Source organism: Homo sapiens, chromosome 3 (assembly GCF_000001405.40).
Source record: "Homo sapiens chromosome 3, GRCh38.p14 Primary Assembly".
Taxonomy (NCBI): domain Eukaryota; kingdom Metazoa; phylum Chordata; class Mammalia; order Primates; family Hominidae; genus Homo; species Homo sapiens.
The window spans coordinates 169,451,293-169,475,411 of NC_000003.12; the positions used below are offsets into that span (position 1 = coordinate 169,451,293).

Here is a 24,119-nt window from a genome sequence, read left to right on the forward strand (position 1 = left end):
CATCTTATTTCCCATTTAAAAAGTATTCTGTAAAGAAAAGTCTTATACATAAAAAGAACTCTACTTGTAAAAATGAATAGGAATATGTACTATGAAAATATTAACCATCTTAGCTGTGAAGAGGTTCCAGTGGTTATAAAGAGAAGGGAAAGTAGATAGAAAGCTCTGGCTTGGCTGTTGGGTTTTTGGTTTGCTTGTTACATGTTTACCTGTTTGTTTAACACTACATATATCTCCAGGTACTCCACCATCCATGTCATCAACTGTGGAAAAATGTCCCATTCTTTCTTATGCCTATTTCTTAGAAGTTCCAGATAGTGAGGGAAAATATTCTAGGTCTCAATGAGCAATGTTATAAATTATATTTTGTATGCTACACTTTAGAGAGATGTCTTTAGTGTATTATACCATTGATGATTCTTGTGATTTTTATTTCTATGTAAAATACAGTTTACACAAAATTTCTATCGCTTAGTGAGACATTCATAATTACATATGAATAAGAATTACAGAAGACATTAAAATGTTTTCATAATAGATGTGGAAAAAAGCTATCCTGCGAGCATGTTTAAAATAGACATGGTTTGCCTTAAACTGAGGCATAAAGCCCCACTGCTAACTGATAATTTAAAGCACAAAGATGGGGAACTGTTTTTCTCCTTACTTCTGCTTGTCTGTTTATCTGATGAAATGTTCAAATAATTCCTCTTCTCAAAATACTAGTCTCTAGTAATGCTTTTTTATATATGTGATCCCTCAAGGTAGTCCTTCCCAAATAATAGCCATCGATTTTTAAAAAAACTTTGAATGGATCAAATCTTCCAATAGACATCAATCAATATTCTCAGATGCTTTGGTAAGCCGGGTCATCACTACTCACGGCCGATGCCCAACTACAGCTTGGTAGACTGGCAGAGCAAAGCTGATTTCTTTGAAAGGCCAAGTGATAGAGGTCAAGCTTGAGACTGCTTAGGAAACACACGCCTTTCCCTTATTTGTAGGACAAAAATGATTGTTAAAAATTTTTAAATTAAATAAGTTAACATTTTAAAAATTAAATAAGTTAACATATGGGAAATCCATTGGTAAACTGAAATGCACTACATAAATCTATGATGGATCAATGTTGATATTATTATTTCTGTTAATTATATTATGCATCTTCCTTCATGAGTCAGTCAGAATTTAGAAGATATTTACATTGTATTGGAATTTGTTGATTCAGTTCTAGGAATACAAACTCAGCATCTACCACGTAAAGGAACACAGTACTAGACACAAAGGGGATGTGTATCATGGATGTCAAGTCCCTGCTTTCTAGTAGCTCACAGTTTCAAACAACTAAAATGCAGTTCTGCGCCGGCTTCAGAGGGGCCAGGTTTCCCACAAGGCCTGGAATTGACCAATAGCTGAGCACACATACTTGCCATATATTTCTTGAATGAGTGAGTGAATGAATGAATACCTAATTTGGCTAACCCTGGGTATCATCCTTATTTTCATCATCTACTAAAAATTAGAGTTGAATATTTCTATTTTTCTGTAAGGTTTGAAAATAACAAAAAATTATTTTCAATAAGCTAGGCATGAGAAAAAGCAATGGCAGCTACATATTTTTCCATAGCTTTCATTCCCTAATCACTTCTTGCATAGTTATACACAGAACTTTAACTGCTGGCTTTTTAAGGGAAATTTCTCAAATGCAAACAAATATATTTCACCAAATAAAATCCTTACATGAATGGAATGGGAAATAGTAACTTAGATGTAAACTGCTAAGTTACCAATTAGCTTCTTAAAACAATTGAAAGTCACAGAGAGCCCTCAATATACAGAGGTGGTTAATTAATTAACATTAGATGTGATTAATAATGAGTCTCATTTAATAGCAAATATCTGCCTGCAATGGCTGCATGACAGAACAAAAAGCCTTCAGAGAGCAAGCAACTATATTTATCCTGATTGTGTTTGGGATTTTAACATGTTTTGTGCAGGCTGACAAATGGCCTATTAATTATCTAATGTTGTCTGACAACAACAGCTTGATAAAGATGTATGTTTTTGAATCGCTGGATGGAAACTGCTGGAGAAGAGCCCCAGAGGGGCCTTGCTGTCCTAAAACTGGGCTCCTAGCCACAATGACAGTCAAGACAAAGCCCTATCTCCCGCCACAGCCTTCGCAGATAAAATATGGCTTGGCATTAGGGACATTTTTTTCTTTCAGAAAACTGCTTCTGCAATATCTGATTAGGAAAAGGAGGAGTACTTCTTTACTAAATTGGGGTTAAGGCATAATCAATATCATATATGGAGTGTCTGGCCTATTCTGCATAAACACGGGCACTTCATATTATTAAGGAGTCTATAATGCCGAGGAAGCATATGGCAGGACACTGCAGCTGTCTCTATTCTTTTTATTTAGAAGTTTATCTTCCAACCTGTTTGACAGCTGCTCCTAAGTGGTTTCACAGTGCCAAACTATTTTTATGATTGTTTGATGTTTTATTCTCCCATTTCAGTTAATGAGATAGGATCCCACAATGGCCATAATTCAGGGCTGTCAGAACTAAAAAGCATGCTTGTGGCAAGAGAGCCTGATGGTAAATAAGGCTAAAAGCAATGGATAATAAAAAAAAAACTCTGTTATCAGAGTCGCCTTTGCAATCAAAACTTGTTGGGGTCAGAGCCTTCCTTTCTTTGTGTGGCTTCTGGATATTCCCAGCCCTGTGCAAGGTCCCTGTCCACCCTCCTCCATCACCCATTTCGATTCTACAAACAAGTCCTCATTTCTTTGGAAAGGCTCATGAGGAATAATATTAACTAAGAAATGTTAGAAGGTCTTAAAGATATCGAGTGCTATATTCTAATTAAAGGGCTTGTGCATCATTTACAGTGCCAAGCGAGTAATTTGTCATACACTGTTACAGAGAAATTGTTCAACAAATAACCTTTACAAGAGTCTTGAGAACAGCTTCATAATTGAAATCCCTAATGGTTTTGCTGGGAACTTTTATTAAGGTTTGGAGGATTTTTTTCTTTTCCTCTCCCTGAAGAGTTTTTAGAAACTTATGATGGTAATGTAGCAACTTTCTTTCAGGAAAAAAAAAAAAAAAAAAAGCCCTTTCTTAGTTATATTTACAAATGCCGTAAGTATTCACAAGGCCATTTCTGCTAAGAATCAAAAGTACAGTGTTTTCCAGAAGAAAATGTGAGGTTTGCTTTGTGTCTTTTATTTTGTTTTTATTATTCCTAATGGAGAAAGTTTTAAGACAGATGAAGATACCTACCTTTAGAATTATTTTTATCTTACACTAAAGTTCATGATCTTTATTTTGGTGTAACACTATCCTTGAAAATGTAATTTAAAAAAATTCAAAGTCACTACTAGATTGAGTCTGTCACATAAATTATTATTCAAAAGTTTAAAAACTGAAAAGTGACCACTTTCTCAAACAATATTTCTCTTCTTATTACACATTTAAAATAATGGTCCTTCACAGGCAGAAAATAGCATGGCAAAAAACTCAAATAATAATAAGTCCCATAACTAATTATAAAGCCTGACACGCCTCATACAGAAACACTCCCTGATGACTACCAAAGATTGGCTGCTTTATAAATATTTAATGCTTGCCAGTAACCCCAATTTTTATCTCACATCTAAGACTAAACCATTTGTCTCCTCTTACAATCAGCCATGTCTATGTAGTGTCATCATGTCTGAGCAAGTTTGACTTACTACGTGTTTTCCAGGATATAAAATTCAGGACATGACACATCATCATGTGAATGAAACAATTACACAATCTAAGAAGGATGGGGAAAAAAAGAATTCAAATAGGCTAAGTGTCATTATAAGGTTAGCTCCAGAGAACTCAAGTCAGAAAAACTGAACATCAGAAAATGATAGATAGGTATGGATCTGTTGTGAACTACTGAAGATGCAGCTCTTATAATACTCTTCTGTGACCCTCAATTCTTTTCTGCAACCAAATAAAGTTATATGAAGAAAGTGCACACCCTAATTTAGGGATATTTATATCCATATAAAATAAAGTGTATCTCCGCGTTTATACTGCGCCACCTTTGGGGAAAAGTGTAGTAGTCTCTAATCAGGGCTGGTGATGGCACCTGAATCAAGAGAAAAACTTTGACAGTTGAACAAGTGGTTCCTATTAAAGGGATCATAGAAGTTAAAAGGTAAAGATTACTACTCTCTGATTGATGGGTTATCACCTCCTTTGGATTATCCTATAAACCCCATTATTTCTATGAGAATGACTCTCATAATTCCGGAATATTTTACAGGTGAGTACAGCCACCTCAAAAACTGGAAACATGTTTCACAACTTCCAGAACAGTAAACATGTGAACAAACCCAACTACAAGCCATGCATGGAGCAAATACCTTTGAGAGAGCTCATATAACCTGCCAGTGCTCAATGCACAGCCCCTTCCACCAGTCTTATATATGAAACTCAGGATCCTATGTCCAGAGCTCTGAGACACCAGCCACTTCCAAACCACCATTGGAATTGGTTTGGTTTGTCCATCATGAATGTTGCTCTTATTGGTTTGACGTGGCTGCTGTTTGTGAATGTAGTTCTTATGTGTTTGCTGGTAGAAAGCTTTTGAGCCTAGTCCAAGCCAGAGGCTGCGAACTAGGCAGTCTTTGGCCTGCAAAAGTTATCATTTCATTATCAGTGTTTCTTTTCCTTTTAAAAAAATTATTTTACTTGTCAACACTTAAAAGTGAGAGGATTTTTACATTAATTTAAAAAATCAGATTTCCACCTTCTTGGAAATTTATATGGTCTGGCAACATGGGATCCACATTCTGGGAAGAAAAAAAAATTCTAGAGCCCTAAAGACATGATATCCATTCTTGGGTTCCCTGTGACCCACCACTACATGAGTCTTTTCCTTCATTCACACCTGGGTCCTGCTCTTGCTTTTAAATAACACCCAAATTCTAGTCCACACCTGCTCCTTGCATTGTACAATATAGAGATGGGGGGATTTCAGTGAAAGTGATCATTGTCACGAAATTCATTTGCAGCAGAAGTGGGTTTAGATTCCAGACCCCCTAGTTGACAAATCAAGGCAATTAATCATTATATATTCACCAAGTCAGTAACAGTATATTTTCAAGGGGCTTGGAACCTAGTGGGAAATAAGGGATGCATTTGTAAACAACAATAATATGGTAAATGGCTGAAAAGTTACTCTTGCCATGAGAAAAGAAAATATAAAGTGCCATGGACTGTCAGCATCCATGTCAACTGGGAGCTGGTTGCAAATGCAGAATTCCAAACCCACCACGGACCTGCTGAATCAGAGTCTGCATTTTAACAAGCCCACTCCACGATTCAAATTCCCTGTCCTAGGGGAGGGACTTTGCACCATTCCAGAGGTGCTTTCCATCATCCCCTCCGTAAAGGTGGGACCACATAGCTGCATGGTTATCTGCGACCCCTGTACCCACCATAATACTACGCACTGAAAGTTTAACCAGTATTAGTAATAAACAAACTACTAAATTAGGATTCTTCCCTCCACCCATAGGAGGAAGAACACACACATGTTCTCGCCGGGTGTGCTTTTCTAATGTGAAAACCAAGGACTGAAACCAGAAGAACCACTGGAAGCAGGCAGGAGGCCCTGATGTGAGGCAGGTCAGTGGCAGGATGTATAAGAGGAAAGTACATCCAGGGAGCTGGGCTGGCTGCCGTCTCAGCAGCCAGACCCAGGGCCAGTTGTTACTCATTGCCATCCAATCCCTCCAACCTCATCGTTCTCCAGCTCTGTTCACAGCTCTACCACTGTTCTCCACAGCTAAAACCAGCTCCCCTGCTGGGGCCCTGCCATGTGTTTGACAGTCCCTTCCAAGCACCCCTTCCCCGAGCAGAAGGGCCAGAATCTTCACTAATTAATATAGCCCATGGATGGGGCAGCGCTTAGGAGAGGCTACTCATTGTTGAGATACCCTAGATGATTTTTTTCTTTTAATTTAGGAACTCACAGGGCTTAATTTTGAGCTACAATTGTTTGGTCGGGCTCTCTGTTCAGAAACTCGGCCAAAGGATTAAGCATTAGCTCCAGGAGTGCAGATAAAATGATTAAGTAAATTAGTATAGTACTTAAAGGGAGAAGAGACATCCTTTAGAATATATAGGGGAAGAGAGGACAGTCACCTAAAAATTATTCACTCTTCTTATCTGATCATATCAGGCCAACTTTTATGTGTGCTAAGAAACAGAACATACATAAAAGACAAATAGAAGAAAAAAATGAACCACAATCTTCTTTTAGGCTCCATAACTGTATTTTGAGGATAAAATTGAGACTATCATCTTAAATGGAATCTCTGATATTCATGTTTGAATAATAGATATTCCCAATTATTACTAAAAATGTCACCTCTGAAATATGAGGGCCACATACCTGTAATGCCATCAGTCTTCCAGGCCCTCACTGAGGATTTGGGTTTCTTTTTTTGTTTTGTTTTCCCTTATCTTTTCTTCCCCTTGGAATAGGAGCAAATGTGTCTGTATTGTTCAAAAGCATACACGAAAATGTGATGTAACCTAAGCTAGGTTTTCAGGTGTTCCTTTTTCTAAGCACGAGGAAAGAAAATAGATGACACCACAGGTTTAATACTAATTGATTTATTACCTGCCTAAGCAAATCCCAAGCTGCGCAATGGCAGGCTTGGACTTAAAGCAAATGATTTACAAGATAATGTTTGACTCTGGGAAAGGGTAATCAGATCCAGATACAATGGATGATAGGATAATTGAGAAGAAATAAAAGAGGATAAATTGCCATGTGCTAATGAGTTTACAGGCCTTAATGGGAAGGACATCAGTTTTAACACTCAGGTTATGAGCTAGGAGCAAGTCTTTTTCTTTTCCACCCCCGCCTTCAACTGCTAAAGATGTAGTGCTGAAACAAACCAAGATTAATGGTATCCCACTCATTTACTTAACCATTCTTTACACCTCAGAAAGCTTCCTGCATTAAGCATATATAGCTGTGGTGTCCTGTATTAAACACAGAGAGCTGTGGTGCTTATTTTTTAAAACCAACTTTATTCCAAGCAGTTCCTGTCAGCAGATGCCACTTATCCAACAGCGCCGAGATATAAATGTTTTTGGCTGGGCCACTTGAGCAACAACTCTTCTGCTCCCGAGTCCCTGGGGGCCTTGGAGCCTGATGAGTTGATGCCGTTATCTGCAAGCCTTTTGGCCTAACGGAGAATATTCCGAACCATTTATGCAACCTGGGTGCACTCACATTTAGAAATGGTTGCCTGAGCAGCAATCATGTCTTGCCTCATGATTCATTTTTATATCTCACTCACCCGCCATCCCACATCACCAGCGAGGACTGGTGACACTTTATTGGTATTTTTTGATTACTGCTATAGCCATCTAAATTTTTCACAGGATGGGGGCCTCTGGTCCAAATGTAGCCGCACACTGGACTAAGGGTAGAGGCTACAAAGAAATAAAGGGGCAGAGGCCAGCAGGGCGATTAGGAAGTAATGTAGAGCAGAGGCACTTCCTAGGAAACAGAGAACCTATTCCCTTGTAATGTTTCTACCAAATGAAGTTTAATATGATGAATCATGGTGCAGCTCCAGCATGTTCACACCTTGCAAAAAAGCAGCTCAAGCGCAGCATTTAAACATGTCTGAATGATGACTCGATTCCCTTACACAAAAGCCGAAGGAGTACATATCCAAAATGGCTATTTCTACCTGTATTGGGAAGGTTGTTTTAGAGCGTTTCCCATTTTCACATGTGCTTGGGAAATCCAAGTGCTCATTTCATGCTTACTGATGTAATCCTGATCAAATAGTACTCTTATTCACAAAAGCTGATCTGATGTTATAGTTGGATCCTAAACCGTAAACCTCAAACATAATTATTTTCTTGACCTGGTGTTTTGTGCAGTGAGGTTCTAGGGATTGATTTGAAATTTACAACCTGACTATTTCTGAGTCAAGCAGTTACTATGAAACTATAAGCAATATTATTTACCCACTCCATACATGAGATTTTTAGGAACATCTGGGTTGTTTCAAGTTTCTGACAATAGTAAAACTTCACTGGTTCATGTTAATTTGGAGAAATCACTAAAACAATATTAAGTTTGTCACACTTTCTTTACACTTTACCAAGTGTTTTTACCTGAAAAGTTGACCAGATAATATAGGAAGTTTGCTTTTAGTTTTCAATTATTACTGAAAATATCTGCAGTAATGCAGGACAATTTGCTCAGCCTAAGCTGTAGCTAAGATTCATTTTAATTTAAATGATAACTGTTTATATAGAAGTAGATGCTTCCAACAAAATCATCAGGCTTGTATTCCCCCTTCCCCCTCAACCTGTCCCCTGCTCCAAATCCTACATTTGCTTATCTTTCAACTTGATTTACTAATACTTTACATAGCAAACCTGTTTCAGGTGTATAAGGGTCACCTGCAGTTCAAGCCAGGCCCATTTTGGTTGGATTCTTATAGTTTCTGAATTAGGCCTGTGATGCTCTACCCTATACTACTTGTGCAAAAGCATCTGGTGCTAGGCAGTGGAGAAGCACCCGAGACTGGCGTTAGTATACACCCCGAAAGACTAAAGTTAATCTTCTTAACTCTTTAGGCTGCTGTAATCCTTTTCCAAAATGTTTAAGAATAGGTTTTCCCTGTGGTAAAGAAGTAAGAGCCCAATTTCTCAGGCAGATAAACTGAGTCTTGAGAGTTGTTTTGTGGCTTCTGAAGGTCACAAAAGGAGCAGAAAAGCTGGGAACCAGGCCTGGGATCTCAGACTCCCACGTCCTCACTGGGAACACTAGACAATACTGACACCCTCCATGAACTGAATCCAAAAATTGTAAAAGATAAGTTGTTTCCTTATATTGTTCAAAGAGGAAAAAAAAGAATAGCTTTCCCACAGAGAGCAAACAAATAGTGAATGGGCCCTCTCTTCATCCTATAGAACTCTATGTGAGAATATTTTTTTTTCTTATGTGAATTCTTAAAAAGTCAGTTTGGATTGCTGCCTAACTTACAGAACATTTCAGAACAGACCTATTTTTTGTCTAAACAATAGAAGTATTGGGTCATAGAATTTAGAGTTGGAAAAGACCTTAGAGATCATAGAATTCAGCACCCTCATTTTACAAACTGAGAATCAGAAAGATTAGATGGCATGGACATGTTTACAAGTCATTTATAACAGAGGCAATTAAATACATTTCAAGGAAAATAAATCTATTTGTATGAATGTTCTAATTATTCTAGGAAAAAAGTACAAGAATACGTTATCTGAAACACATTTATTATTTTACATGGCAAGACTTGGCTTCTTCCCTTCAGAACAAATCTCGCTGAGAGTGGATTCAGTCTCCTTGCAAGAAATTGGACAAGTACCAACAAGGCCCCCATTAGCCCTGTCCATTACAGGTTCCATAGACTCAGGTTTTGTCAAGAGTGCAAAGAGGAAATGGCAGTGTGATAGCAAAGCATGGTGCCACACAAGGATTAAATAAGAAAAGGGCCAAAAACATCCACAAAGGGGAACCAATTAATTTACGGGAGAGTCCAAGATATATGGGAGATCATGTTCCAGATTCAGGTATCAGTTGGCCAGGGCCTTTTTGGAAAATAATCCTTATCTTTTATTTGGTGCCCTCCTTGCCTTCCTGTTCCTTCTCAGCCAGTAAATCTGCAGCCTTAAACACCAGCTCCTAGAGAAAACCAATGTTTTCTTTTTTTTTCTAAAACAGACAAGCAGTTGTATCAAGGATCTTCTCCCAAGAACAGGGTGTATTGATATTGGACACAACAGTTCAGTTCTGCTAGAGTTGAATCTTCCACTTGCGCCACCCCTACTCTCTTATTTTCGTACTTCATCTATTTTCTAAATTAGTTGAAAGATTAGCTGTAAAATGATCAGCTTCTAAATGATTGAAGCTGTGGTCTTATCTGACTCATCATCTGGGACAGAAACCATGGTGCAGATGGATGTTCAAACAGAAAGACATTTTTACATAAAAAAGTTGTCAACAAACACCAGGCTAGTGTTATTGCCCAGAGGAAGCTGACATCATGGCAAAGTTTTGAAGAACTCTAGAATTTTAGGACTGCAAAGACATCTGTGCCTCCGCTTATACAGAATCTTTATTTTTCAAATATGAAAAATTTAAGTTTTCAGAGATTTGGTGAAGGTCATTTAGCCAATAAATAGCAATGAAAGACCCAGGCTTCTTGGTTCCCACTGTACCACATTTCCAGCAGTTCTGAACCAGCTCACACAGGTCTAAAAAAACAACAATAGAACAACACAAACTATTGCTCTCCATTTTTGAAAAAATAAATTTTTGGAAGTGGTAAGTTATAGACGCATATAAGTTAATCACAGCTGCCTGTGTGTGCAAAAGTAGCAGTAGCAAAACACCTAGCTGATAAAGTAGTTCTTTAACCTTTATAGAAAGCATGATTTAAGGCATCTTATGGGAAATCAAAGGCTTCAGCCAATTCCAAGGATCTTACAGACCAATGGGAGCAGTAGGAACCCTGGTGAGATGGTTTCATGCCATGCTTTTTAAGTTTACATTTAGTCACCAAAAAATAATAGGCTGATATTTTTGAAGAAGAGCTACCTTCTTTCTTCATCTTTGTTATATAACTTTGTTATCCCTTTCCAAATTCACTATCCAAATATTCGCTAGTGTATTTCCAAATACACTAGCGTGTAACTGGGCTCTCAATCGCCAAACCCTGGTGGCATTCCAAAGTGTAAATTTTAGACACCTCTGAGCAGATTTTCCATGAACCTAGAGATCCAGTGAGAGACAAATTCTACCAACAACTCAATCCTCTAGCCAGTGAAGGTAGCCCCAGCAGACAGCAGGGAAAGCCTATACTCTCAATCAAAGGTAACAGCTCAACATGCCAGAGTTCAAGCATTATATAGATGTAATATTATTCTTACACCAAAAGACTAAGCTGTTGATGAGAAAATTGCACACATGCTGAATGATGGGCTTAATGTCAGACAGCCAGATGTTTTTACTTAGGGCTCTTTCCCATCTTTGCCAGCAGGCAGGAGAGAAAAAAGAAGACAACAATGTTCTAGATTAGGAGCTCTCTGAGAGCAAGGAGTGAGAAGTTTTGCTTTTACAACATTAATCTTTAGTGTATACTACATTCCTGGCAAAAATTAGATGTCCCATATGTGTTTCTTGAATTCATATGTTAGCACTCAAATCAGTTAATTTTCTATTTAGCTTAATGGAAAAAAATGAAGACTTGAAATTTTTATGCTGTTAAATTTACTTATCTGTATCACACTGGAAAACATCCTTACGAAAAACTGGAAACAGTCTTGGATAGGGGCTTGGGGTTTTTTCTTTCAAACTCAACAAGTAACTCTGTTGCCATTAATGAATACTGTAAAGGTAGTCTTTATTTGTAAATGTATATGCCAAAGGCAAATATAGTCTATATTCTAGGATTTACAGAATAATTATTTTGAAAATTTCTTAAAAACAAAATTTTCTTGTGTCTAAATTATTTGTTCATGAAACTTTGTAAAACATGCAAATTTTAAAGAACAACCTCATGTAAGAAACATAAAGGCTAATTTTTATTTACCAAATAAGAAGCTGTTTTTCAAAGCCCAGTTCAATAGGACAAAAAGTTTTCCTGTTGGCAAGCATAAAAACTCATTTTCAGCATTTAAGCTAATGAAGCACTTGGACAAATGCTCAGTTCAAGATATTTCATGGACAGTGTGGGCACACATTTATATGTCTGTGAGCATACAAAATAACACACACATGTAATTTTACAATGCAAGTTAAGTATAAGGAAATGGACTCCCTTTCCCAGGCACCGGGCATTAAAAAAGAAACCACCCCACTGGGAAATGGAAGGATTAAGCAGAGATTCCTATATGGCATCATTCATCTTGCACAGATATTAGCTTGATGCTCATGTGAAAACATAAAAACTCCATCTGTTCCCTAGGCATACTTAGTTTGTTGTTCAGATGGTTTGTTTTAAAGACTAATTTGTAATGGTTAAGTTAGTTATTTCAACTGAAAAAAAGTGTACAAAATGGAGCTTGGCATCTGGTTTTGCTAAAGGTGTTAAGCAATATTTAAGCAGCTGAGTGTCATCTCTACTTAAAGGATAAAATGAACAAGGGAGGTGGATTCTGCCTCCAGATAGATGAGCTTCAATCAGTATGAATGGGAACAGAATAAAAATAAGAAAATTATTATATTTTAAACTCTAAGGTCATCCTCAAATGTATTTGAACTTTTCATTTAGATGATGTAGCCATATGAGAAATTCTGTGTAACTTGTTCTACTTTGATAGTAAAACCTTAAATATTTACATGTATCAAGTTATACGTTTAATTTTTTTCATTTCTCCAATTGCCATTGGATTTGGGAGTAATTGGGAGAGTGCAATAAGATGGCCTTTGTTTCCTCTTAAATGGTAATTTGCACCTTCACTGTCATGGTGTCAGATATCAAGTGCAGATGCCTATCATATTTTTATCAAATATAATTTTGTTAGGAGAACTAAAAGTACGACTGCAAAAAAATTTTTTTTAATTCACCTATTTTTCTTCAAGGGATATGTGCCCTTGACTAATGAAGGTTCCTCCTTAATCTGCGAAGTTTCTGCAAAGCTTGCTGAGAGACACCCACAGAGTGGAAACCAGGCAGAAGAGAAGACTCACATGCCCACCTCACCGGCCAAAGAACCCTTGAGAGCAACAGCACAACGGATGTCAGAGCCAGGACATCCAAGGTAATGATGCTATTCCTATTATCACCTGAGACAACATTTGTGTGAGGATTCTTGCATATGGCCATATTAAAGATTTACATTTGGAGTTTTGCTAACATTTCCAAAGCAGTTGAGACACGGAACATTTTTGTTTTGAAAGCATTTCAAAACAGTTGTCTGTTAAATTTTGGAATGTAAAAATGTAGTTACACTTGGCATGGGCATTTAAATGTAAAACATATCTCTGTGATCCTTTTCATAACAGCAAGATTCTTTGTTGGATTGGAAACAAAAGAAAATCTCAAAACACTATCCAAAAAATCTTCCTTGTTGTCCATCAGGATGTCTCGCCGTGTAGATCTCACACCCTCTAGTTTTCGAAAAGCACCACGGACCCTCATTCATTGCTTATTACTTTTATTCACTCTCATTCTACCTGCTTTTTCTAATTCTCACTGGATTTGAAAAAGCAAATTAGGAGGGCATTACATGGGGAAAAGTGGGGAAAGTTCTTCAGGAAACTGATGGATTACTGTATATTATTCATTTAAATCTATTGAGCTTTATGGTCATATGTATCCCTTTAAACGGTATTTTTCTTCTATATCAATTTATAATACAGTATAACTTCCCTCTGTATACAGCTATCCCAATTCAGGTGAGAAGAAGAGCAACTCCACCATTGTTCATGGTCATAATCATCAGATCTTTGTCTTTGTTGAGAATACAAAATTCAAATTTTCTTTCTTCTACTAAGAAATTAAATTAAACATTAAATAGTAAATTTTTAGTGTTTACTGATTTTCTCTCCTTACTGTCACTGTGTCAGGCTCCAAATATCAAGCCAAATATATTTAATATTTAAAATGTTGAAAATGTTTCCTCAATTCACCTCTTTTTTATGTGGAAGAATTTTTTCTTTTAAAAATCTTACAATGAATACTTATATTAGAATCAGAATAAAAACAAAATTCTTATTACTAACAAATTTCTCAATTTAAGCTCTTTTCACCTATATATTCGTACTTTATTTAAGTTCCCTCTGATGTTTTAAGTTCTTCATTCTTAAGACAGCCTTGTTTAAAGGTTAAGAGCATGAATTCTGGGGCTGAACTGCCTGGGTTTTAATCTCAGCTTTGTCACTAATTAGCCGTGTGCCCTTGGGCAAGTTACTTAACCTCTCTGTGCTTTTTGCACATTTGTAAAACTGGGATAATAATATCTGTTTCCTAGTATTGTTATTTAATTGTTATTTCATATTCCTAGTATTGTTATTTAATATGTATAAAGTGCTCAGAATAGTGGCTGGCACACAGTAAGTTCTCTATAAGTATTCATTATATAAATAAAATAAAATAAAAACCTTAAAGACAGCCATTGATTAAATTCCATTTGGACAAAGCCAGATAAATGGCCAACACTTTGCTTGTCTTAGATTATCATCAAAATGTGATCTCTCTCATTTTACACTGATTTTTTCTGTATGTGTCGACATCCATTTTAACATAATGACATCACTTCATTTCACTTTGGCCTCAGCTGTTAACAGAGCTATTGAACACTTGGTGTAGATTAATTTATCTTTCACATTTTAATATGACTTTCTCACCATAAGAAAATCCTCATGATATACTAAACAATTTTATTTCTAGAAAATTCAATCTTGGAGATAAGTGATTACTTCTAAGAATATCCATAAAAATTACAAGCTCAATTACAACTCATCTGCTGTTTTAAATGTTTTCTTCTTTTGCTCAATTACAGTTCTTCTGGGCTTTAGCTCATAATATTCTGAATATAAACTCTACATTTTACCTGATCCTTTTCTAACAAGAGTTCTTCAAACACTATGCTACTTAGGAACCATGATGAAGTCATGGTGTAAAAATCACATGTCCTTACAAACTCACATCTTTAAAACTTGTATGTCTACTTTACTTTGATTCTAAAGTTGTATTTTGTTGCCATCTGAACACTTGAGATATAACATTTGAAGAATCAAGGTATAAAACCAGAGTGAGTAGAATCCCTGGCCATCCGTTACTATTGCTGGGTTAGGAATCCATCAGTCCAACAGGCAGCCTCTCAAAACCCAAACACTGGATATGCATATGCCAAATGGACTTCAGCTGAATAAAGTGAATACTGATGTTGGTATTTAGAAGCAGGTCCTTCTCAAAGAAGCCTTGGTACACACCTTTGACCCTTAACTGGGGTGCTCCAACATTGCCTGTGATGATGACTCCCAGTGAAGGCTCTGCGCTGTGCTTGGCTGCATTTCTATCTGAGTGCCAACAGCAAGATAAATGAAAGACTGGTTCACTGGAGTACTGGTGGTTTGGGGGCTATTGATTTTTGGTCCATTCTCTTTAAAAGTGAGATCTAAAAAGTTGACAGAGGGTCATTAATTTCATCATATACTTGTCGTCTCATCCATAACCAATCCAGAGTCTGAGTGTGCTTGTCACTCTGTGTTTGCACTTTATTTGTTTGGGGTTTTCTTGGTGATTCCACTCTTTTTTTTCCTCTTTCACTTCGGCCTCTTTAAATAAAGAAAGAAAAGAAACATGCCAGTTTGTGGCTCTTTCCTGAAAATGATTTGGGGATGGGGAAAGTTATAGATACAGATACATAGAGAGAGATTCTGGTAATAGGAAACAGTCAGAAAATAGCCTCTTCCAGCTGCCTTCTAACCTGGGTTTAAAAAAAGAAAAACTCCATATAAAATTCATCAATCCTAATTATTCAATTAGCCTCCAATTGAATAAACACTTACTTAGGTGAACTAGTGGACTTGTTTTAATGAAATATTAAAATACAAGTTGCCAACATTCTTTTTCAAAAAGCTTCTGGGTTCTCAACAAATGTTGTTGAAATGTACAAAAATAATTGATAGTAATCGTTAATTGAGTTTCTTTGGCTGTAAATTCAGAACAGGTCTACCAATCCTGCAAGAAACACCAAACTGAATTTCAAGATATCGTGAAAACAACTTACTGGTGAGTTTTATTGTTATGATGGCAGGTTTATTTCTTGTTTGTTTTTTAACAGGGTAAGGAGAGTTTGGCAGCCTCCATAATTATTATTGAAATAACCATCAAATAAAATCTTTAAGCCTGGTTGAATTTTCAATGAGCTGTGTAAATCTGGGGTGTGGAAAACAATAGCACAGGGCAAGAGTAGAATTCCAGAAAAATAAGCAGAGATTTTTAGACAATTCTTCAGCAGTCCACCTAGACAGTTATGTCCTCCTACCTGACTGGGGATGTAGTTGATTCTATAGTATCTGTTTTGAAACCTAGTTGCAAGACTGCAAGTGAGGAAAGCAAAGGAAAATATGATTAAGTTCACGGGCCAAGGCAAGGAAATCCAGTATTAATAATATCACAACCTGCCAGTAAATCTCTATTTTATAGGTGAAGAAATACATTTCTACTTTAAGTGTGTTTTTATATACCCTTGAGTGTCCAACTAGTTAAACTACCAAGGGAGCTCTACATGATTTAGAAATTAATCCTTCAAATAGCTAACAATTGAATGCCTCAGCTGTTTGTAGTCTCCTACCGCTGGCTAATTTCATTTTTGTTTTATATGTTCAGTGGTAAGCTTTCATTGTTCGCTGACACTGAGGTTGTAAGTCTAGTTAATTTAGTTAAAATGAGGCTGAGAATGTTCATAGCTTTTCACCGGCTACAACAAGACCTGGGAAAACTTGGAGTGAACACCCCACAATGAAACTCAATAGGAAAGAAAATTGAGATGACCCAGCTCATGGTCAGCTTTCATCACCATGGAATAGGGATGTAAATAAACATCTTTAAATGTGTTAAAAGGCTTCTAAGATCTGAAAACGTTTGGTGCTTTGCATTATCTCAGGCTCTGTGGTTACTTTTCTGGCCAACTCCCTTCTCCTCTTTTTATGTCAAGTCATTTTCCCCCAAAGCCATTGCTTGAAGTTGCGGTAAAAGACAAACCTAACAGTCTTCGTGTGCTTCTTACTAACAAAACCCACTAATTTTTTTTTTCATCTGCCTATCACCTGCTCTGTTTCCTCCCACTCTCCCAGGGTTCCCTACACTTTTCCTTTTAGCTGCTCAAAGGTGTAAATCTCCTTCCCATGCCCTGATTCCTCATTTCCCTTCCCCAGATAACTCCTGCCCCTTCCTTTATTTCAACATACCCATCCCTTATACAAGTTATTTTTCTAACTCTTCATACAAGATCTGCTCCACTGGTCTCATGTTCTCTCTTTTATGTGTACAAACACGTACTTAATTCTTCACAGCACTAATCAGGGCTGTAATTAAACAATTAATTGTGTAATTAATTTTTAGGGTCTGTCTTTCCCATTAAAATGTAAGCTCTGTGTAGATTGGGACCATATTTGTCTTATTTACTTTCCCGTGCCTCAGAGCCTAGCTCATAGTATACACTCAAAATTTTGTTGAATGAATGAATCCATTCCAGGATCAGTTTTCTCACCTGCAAAATGTAATAAAAAGGAATCCTTGCTTCTCAATGTCATTGTTAGTATCAAATGATATAACAAATATTTGAAAAATACTTTATAGGAAATCAAATGCTATAAGCATTATTGTTAATGCATTATCATTAATGCATAATGGTAGCAATTGTTGTAACCATTTCTGACACATGGAAGCAATTGCTTGAAAGGAATTTGTCAAATGACAACCACTCTGATCTTACTTGATCTTACTTCATGCAAAAGCAGCCAACAACTCGCCTGGGAACAGACTCCCCTCATCTACCCTGTGCCTGCTAGGCAGACTGCCACCAAGGAATCTGAATGCAGACCTTCATAATTCCATTGTAATCATGGTCTTGGTTGAACTCAAAAAACATTTTTGGGCACTGTGATGGGTGTTAGAATATCCTAGCAGTCTTTCTAGGGCAGCGTAAGTCACATTGCCTAGAAAAATTAATATTCTAATAGTAAAGATGGACACAGGGACAGATCGTTACAATTCTAGTCAAATTCCATAAGGGGAGGAGCCAGATTATAACAGAAGTGCACTGAACTCAATCTGGAGCCTCAGTCATGACTTTCCAGGAGGAGATGGTGACTGAGCTGATTCTTAAAGAATGAACAAGGTTTCCCAGGTAAAGGTGGTGAGAGTGCTCCTAGCAGAACAAGCAGTATAAGAAAGATACAAATGTGTGGAACAGTAAGAAGTACAGGTCACCAATCAGGTGTCCTGTCAGTAGGAAGCCAGCAGGGAGTCTATATCTACAATGTCTTAGTATTCCAGCAGTTGCATAGGAACCTAAATCTGAGATGTGGTTTTATCAACCAAAAGTAAAATTGCCAAAAGCCCAGCAAAATAACCTATGAGTGACTTAAAATCAAAACTACTACCTATCACCCCTGTTTTAGCATCAGCTAAATATAGCTGCTTTTAGAAAAGCAGCTTATCTCCACAATAGTCCTTCTGAAAAACTAATTATGTGAAAGTATGAAAAATGTACATTTCAAGGTGTACGTTTTTTTCTCCTACCCAGAAGTCCTCCTTTCAACTCTCCAGCAACGCCCCCTTGCATTCATAAACTCTGTGTCCACAGAGATACATGCATTTTTCCAGAAAAGTCATTAATTTTGGAATTTAAGAAATATGAAATAGACAAAGTGGGTAATTTTTCACACTTAGAAGAATGTACCCGTTATGTTTTGACTCTTTTTCTTGCACAGCTGAGAAAAGATTAATAACTCACTTTCTCTATTAATTGGCTTCCCAGGTGCCATAAAAGATGGTACCCAATCAAGTCACTTAAAGCAAAAAATGCCCATAGCACTCATTAACCCCCAACCAGAGAACGTGGTCATCACACATTAACTTTCCAGCAGCTAGCCTTCCTAAGAAACTGATATGATATTAAAGCTCCAGAGGAGTCAACTCTTAAATAAATTGTTGAATTATCCTCTTCTCCGAAAGGTACCCAAAAGTATTTTATATTAAAAAAGTAGCCAAGCACATGTGCCAACAATGCAAAAGTGTATATGATTACAAACAATTTTATTTTGCAGAAGCTTGGAGTTGGAACAATTCTAGCTTATTGAGGAGCTCTTCAAATTAGAAGGTAAGAGAGCAAATCACAAAAGATACATTCCAACTTCCTCTATTCATAGCCATAAGAAAAGGCCAGGGGAAAAAATAATAAAAGGTCTGAAGTCCTATGAGACTACACTTAAACTCTGAAGTCTAGGAAACTCTTACTTTAACATTAGCAAGAATTCCAAAGATTTGTATTTAGTCTAATGGAAGAGAGAAAAAACGAGCTTCTTGATGACAGCAAAACCACACTCAGATCATTGGAGGTCCTGGCAACCAGATACAAATTTATTCCTTTAGGAGCCCTGTCCTTTCTGTTGAAGCTCACTGCTGGAAGAATAACACAACTTCACAGTCACAGTTCTGCCATGAAAGCAGGAATCATGGGGTACAGGTGTATGAGGGGGAGGGGACAGGCAAGAGGGAAGAAAGTGATATGTATTAGACTGTTCTATTCCTGGCCACAGAGAGAGAAATTCTGAGGCATGTCACAGTGCTTGATGTGAAAGCCTAGTAAGTCAAAACGGGAAGAAATACTTTCAGAATCCTAATGGTCCTATTGCCAGAGTATAAGTTATGAGGAATCTGGTGTATCTATCATCTAGAAACCAAACAAAACTAAAAATCACAGGGGAATTACTACAGGTTAAAAAAAAATGTCTATTTTAAAGATTTAGAGATAGATTCAAATAGCTAGAGGAGGGTCTGAGCTATTTTTTTATTACAATAAGGCACACTTTTAAATGCCTAATGTCCTTTTGTTTTAGGGGGGCTTGTTTGTTGTTTTGTTTGTTTGTTTTGAGACAGGGTCTGGCTCTGTCACCCAGGCTGGAGTTCAGTGGTGTGACCTTGCCTCACTGCAGCCTCCTCCAACCCTTCTCCACACAACTTCCCCAATACCCCCATCCCCACCCCAGGCTCAAACAACCCTCCCACCTCAGCCTCCAGGGTAGCTGGGACTATAGGCACGTGCCAGCATGCCCGTCTGATTTTTTGTATTTTTGTAGAGATAGGGTTTAGCCATGTTGCCCATGCTGGTCTCTAACTCCTGGGCTCAAGCAATACACTGGCCTCGGCTTCCCAAAGTGCTGGGGTTACAGGCATGAGCCACCACACCCAGCCTCAATGTCTCTTTTTTTTAAATCTCTTTACCTTTATTTTTGCTTCTGCTTTTCTTTCTAAGTTTACCTCAGGAAAAAAAAAAAAATTCCTGCTTTAAATTCTAGACACCTATCCTGTGTAACTCCTACCTAGCAAGCATTGAATACATATATTTAAATGAAAGCAGATTTATCATTTAATCAGATAATGGAGAACACTGATGAAAACTAAGTGAAACTTCTCAGAAAAGTCACACGCTCTTTGGGCTTTATATCCAGGAATCCAACAAGGAGGAAAGTACCATCCCAGCTGAGCATTAATTATTCTTCCTTAGATTTCTCAGCTCCCATGATACTGCACTACATTGCCTAAGTCCTATATGTTAACCACTCTCCTTTGCTATGTGCCTATAATTTCTTGTTTATTCTTTCCTCCTGGCTCCTCATCACAATGCCTGGAATCACATTTGTATAATTTTGGAGGCAAACAAAGCACTTCCATGTCGTTTCCCTCTTCTGTTTTTCTCCTTGTAAGTTCCCATTTTCCATTTATACAATTCACTCTATTTAATAGTTTTCCTTACTATTCTATTTATGCCCACTTACTTTGATGATGTGCATTTATTTATGCCCCCTTCATTTTAGCAACCATGTTTTGTTGTCCACATGTCTTGAACTTTCAGTTTAAGATCTTTAGCTGTGTAGACTTGGGCTAGACTTCATGTTGTCTGGAATTCTAAAATATAACAAAATCTTGCCATGACTACATGTGCAAGGATCCTAAGAGTGTTTCTCTCAAAGAAAGGATAAGTGCTTGAGGTGATGGATACCCCATTTACCCTATAGTGCTTATTATACATTGTATGCCTGTATCAAAATATCTCATATACCCAATAAATATACACACCAACTGTGTACCAACAAAAATTAAAAATTAAAAAAAAATTAAAGTTTATTTCCCCATTCAAGAGGTTAGTTCACCCAATGGTGCCTATAATATTGTGTAAAAAAAAAAACAATAATAATAATATATTCAGGAGGCTGAGGCAGGAGGTTCACTTGAGCCCAGGAGTTTGAATCCAGCCTGGGCAATATAGTGAGACCCCATCTCTAAAAAAAAGGAAAAATAATAGAGGAGAGGAGAGGAGAGGAAAGGAAAGGAAAGGAGAGGAGAGAAAAGGAAAGGAAGGGAAAGAAGGAAAGGAAAGGAAAGGAAAGGAAAGGAAAGGAAAGGAAAGGAAAGGAAAGGAAAGAAAAGAAAAGAAAAGGAAAGGAAAGGAAAAGAAAAGAGAGGAGAGGAGAGGAGAGGAGAGGAAAGGAAAGGAAAGGAAAGGAAAGGAAAGGAAAGAAAAGAAAAGAAAAGAAAAGGAAAGGAAAGGAAAAGAAAAGAAAGGAAAGGAAAGGAGAGGAGAGGAAAGGAAAGGGAAGGGAAGGAAAGGAAGAAAGGGAGGGAGGGGGAAGGAAGGAAGGAAGGAAGGAAGAAGAGAGGGAGGGAAAGAAAGTAATATAAGCCTTAGTGTTCATTTTTTCAAATTGTTCAATTTATAGAAAATCCTAATCATGTGTTTAACCGACATAAAGTTCAAAGACAAGGTCTTAATGACTGCTTACTATTGTGGTAAGACAAATATGTCACATGTTCTAAAAATCAATCAAAATATTTACTAGGCCCCTACTTTGTCCCTACCTGGTAGTTATCAATATGTAGACACCACCCAGATACCATGCCAAATGTCAAAGATTTTTAAATCAGAGAAAAACCTAGAGAAGGAGTCATTAGCATCCAACAGTCTCCTGGTTTCCAAAAGGAGGTCCACCACAGTGGTTCCAACCTGTGAGAGAATCAAAAGTAATCTTGGAAGCTTTGTCAGAAATACAGAATCCTGATTTCTACATTAGATCTCTAAGGTAAATAAGGCTGTCTGGAAGTAGATTCAGGAATTTGTACTTTTGAAACTTCTCTGGTGATCAGAATGATCACCCTATCTACAAACTGCTGATTTATCTGGCCTTCATCCTAATCCACAGGCTAGCCAAAAACACAAGAGCGAATATATGAGGTTCCCAGCCACTGAAAAAAGAGAAAAGAGAGACCACTATCCCTAAATATTGTGAAACTTGAAATTCAGCAACACGATTTTGAGAACATTAAGAAGTCACTACTTTCTTGCTGTCCTACAGGTTAGGCGAAGGAAGAAATATGTTTAAACACCAGATACGGCAGGGCGTGGTGGCTCATGCCTGTAATCCCAGCACTATGGGAGGCTGAGGTGGGTGGATCATGAGGTCAGGAGATCGAGACAATCCTGGCCAACACAGTGAAACCCTGTCTCTACTAAAAATACAAAAATTAGCCGGGTGTGGTGGCACACACCTGTAGTCCCAGCTACTCAGGAGGCTGAGGTAGGAGAATCACTTGAATCTGGGGGGCAGAGGTTGTAGTGAGCCGAGATTGCTCCACTGCACTCCAGCCTGGTGACAGAGCCAGACTCCCTCTTAGAAAAAACACAAAAACAAAAACAAAATACCAGACACTATTAGTTTTGGGTACAAGAGAGGGAAGCCAATTACACATATAGCAAAAGAGAAGGAAGAATAAATACTATATATATGTAGTATTCATTATATCTATAGATAGATAGATAGATAGATAATTGAATCTATAGACAGGTTCTCAGAGAGAAAGAATACGCTCGCATCTTTCCTCCCTTTTCCTATGAGCACGACTCAACAGGACAGATTGGGTCAGTAGCTTAGGTAGAAATGGTCCAGGTTTGAGAATGCTAATGAGCATGTCAAACAATTTAGTCAGTCACCACGTGCCACCTCTCATTCACAAGATGAATTTCTTTTGTAGTGGCACATTGAAGGGAGAGGTTTAAATAGACCTTGTGGAAGGATCTGCATCAATAATAATTTCCAAGCAATCCCACTAGGAAGACAACTGTCTAAAGTCAGCCGAGAGAGCAAACAACAACAAACTTCATTACTATCTTTGGTATTTTGTAAACGTCAGTTCCTGAAGTCCAGCCTTCCAGCCTAATGCTCCATACTAGAAAAAGCCACTTACCCAACACCCCTATCATTCTTTCCTTTTTTCAATATACGGTTTATTAATATAGATGTCAGTCTGTACTTACAACCCAACATAAAATATCCTTGAAAATGGAATGTCAACAGAATGGTAATATACCACCTTGGGTTGATGGGACAGTTTTATTGCAACAGCTTAATTTTTATCAATATTATATAAATTATATTGTTACAATCATATATATTTATGATTAGATATAAAGTAACTGCTTTTTCCCTAATGCTAAAAACTCTATTATGTGAAACCTTGGTGTTAAAAGCAGGGTTTGAGGTTGGCAGCCCATGTTTTGTGTAATAACTGCTAATCCTCCACCAAAGAAGAGAAATCATTTGGAAGATACAAAAACTCTGAGTTTTTTATGCTCTCTGAAACCTATGTCATCAATGTGGATTAATATTTGCCCCCAGAATGATTCTGCAGGTGAGAAGAGATAACTGATATATATTAGCTTAGTGTCTAGTACTTAACCACCCATTATGATGGTATCTAATCAATCTATATTGATATCTGTCTGCCTACCTCATAAAATCTGTAGGTAGATACTATTATCCCATATTACAGAATAGAATACTGAGGTTCGATAAAGTTACATGTATTACCCTAGATCTCATTGCTAGTAGGGGCCAAGCTGAGTTCCAATTTCAGTTTTTGTGATTCTTAAAGCCTGAACAACTCCTACTGTATTCTCCTCAGGCCAACAGTCTGAATTACTAACACAGCACGTAAACAATCAGAACAGAGTCCATGTATTTATTGGTAACAAATGCACATACAAATCACTTGAAATTCCTTTTAATGATAACATAGCATATAATTCTATAGGGGAAAAAAGACAATTTGTGCTCTTATTTGTTGCCAATGGTTGCACTTCATTCTGAAAGTCATTTAATATTGAAATAAGTATCTTTCATGATTATCCTAATATAACCATTTTAGTTCTAACCCTGACAAGCAGCAAACTTTGTCCCCTGGCCCAACTTTATCAAGACGGTTGAAGTGTTTTTTTAAGTTATTCCCATTTTGCTTCTGGAAAAACTGGGCACAGGAT

At 37.3% G+C, this 24,119-nt stretch overlaps 1 protein-coding gene and 1 long non-coding RNA gene across 7 annotated transcripts in view; one reads left to right on the forward strand and one right to left on the reverse strand.

Moving 5' to 3' along the window:
• Positions 1-24,119, reverse strand: part of MECOM (MDS1 and EVI1 complex locus) — a 580,206-nt gene that overhangs the window by 367,786 nt on the left and 188,301 nt on the right. The gene's annotated exons all lie outside the window — the stretch shown is intronic.
• The window catches only part of MECOM-AS1 (MECOM antisense RNA 1), a 29,186-nt gene that overhangs the window by 3,426 nt on the left and 1,641 nt on the right, over positions 1-24,119 (forward strand). The window contains exons 2-4 of the long non-coding RNA NR_134932.1: positions 12,652-12,830; positions 15,742-15,808; positions 18,853-18,905. This is a non-coding gene — a long non-coding RNA (MECOM antisense RNA 1). The remainder of the gene's footprint in view (positions 1-12,651; positions 12,831-15,741; positions 15,809-18,852; positions 18,906-24,119) is intronic.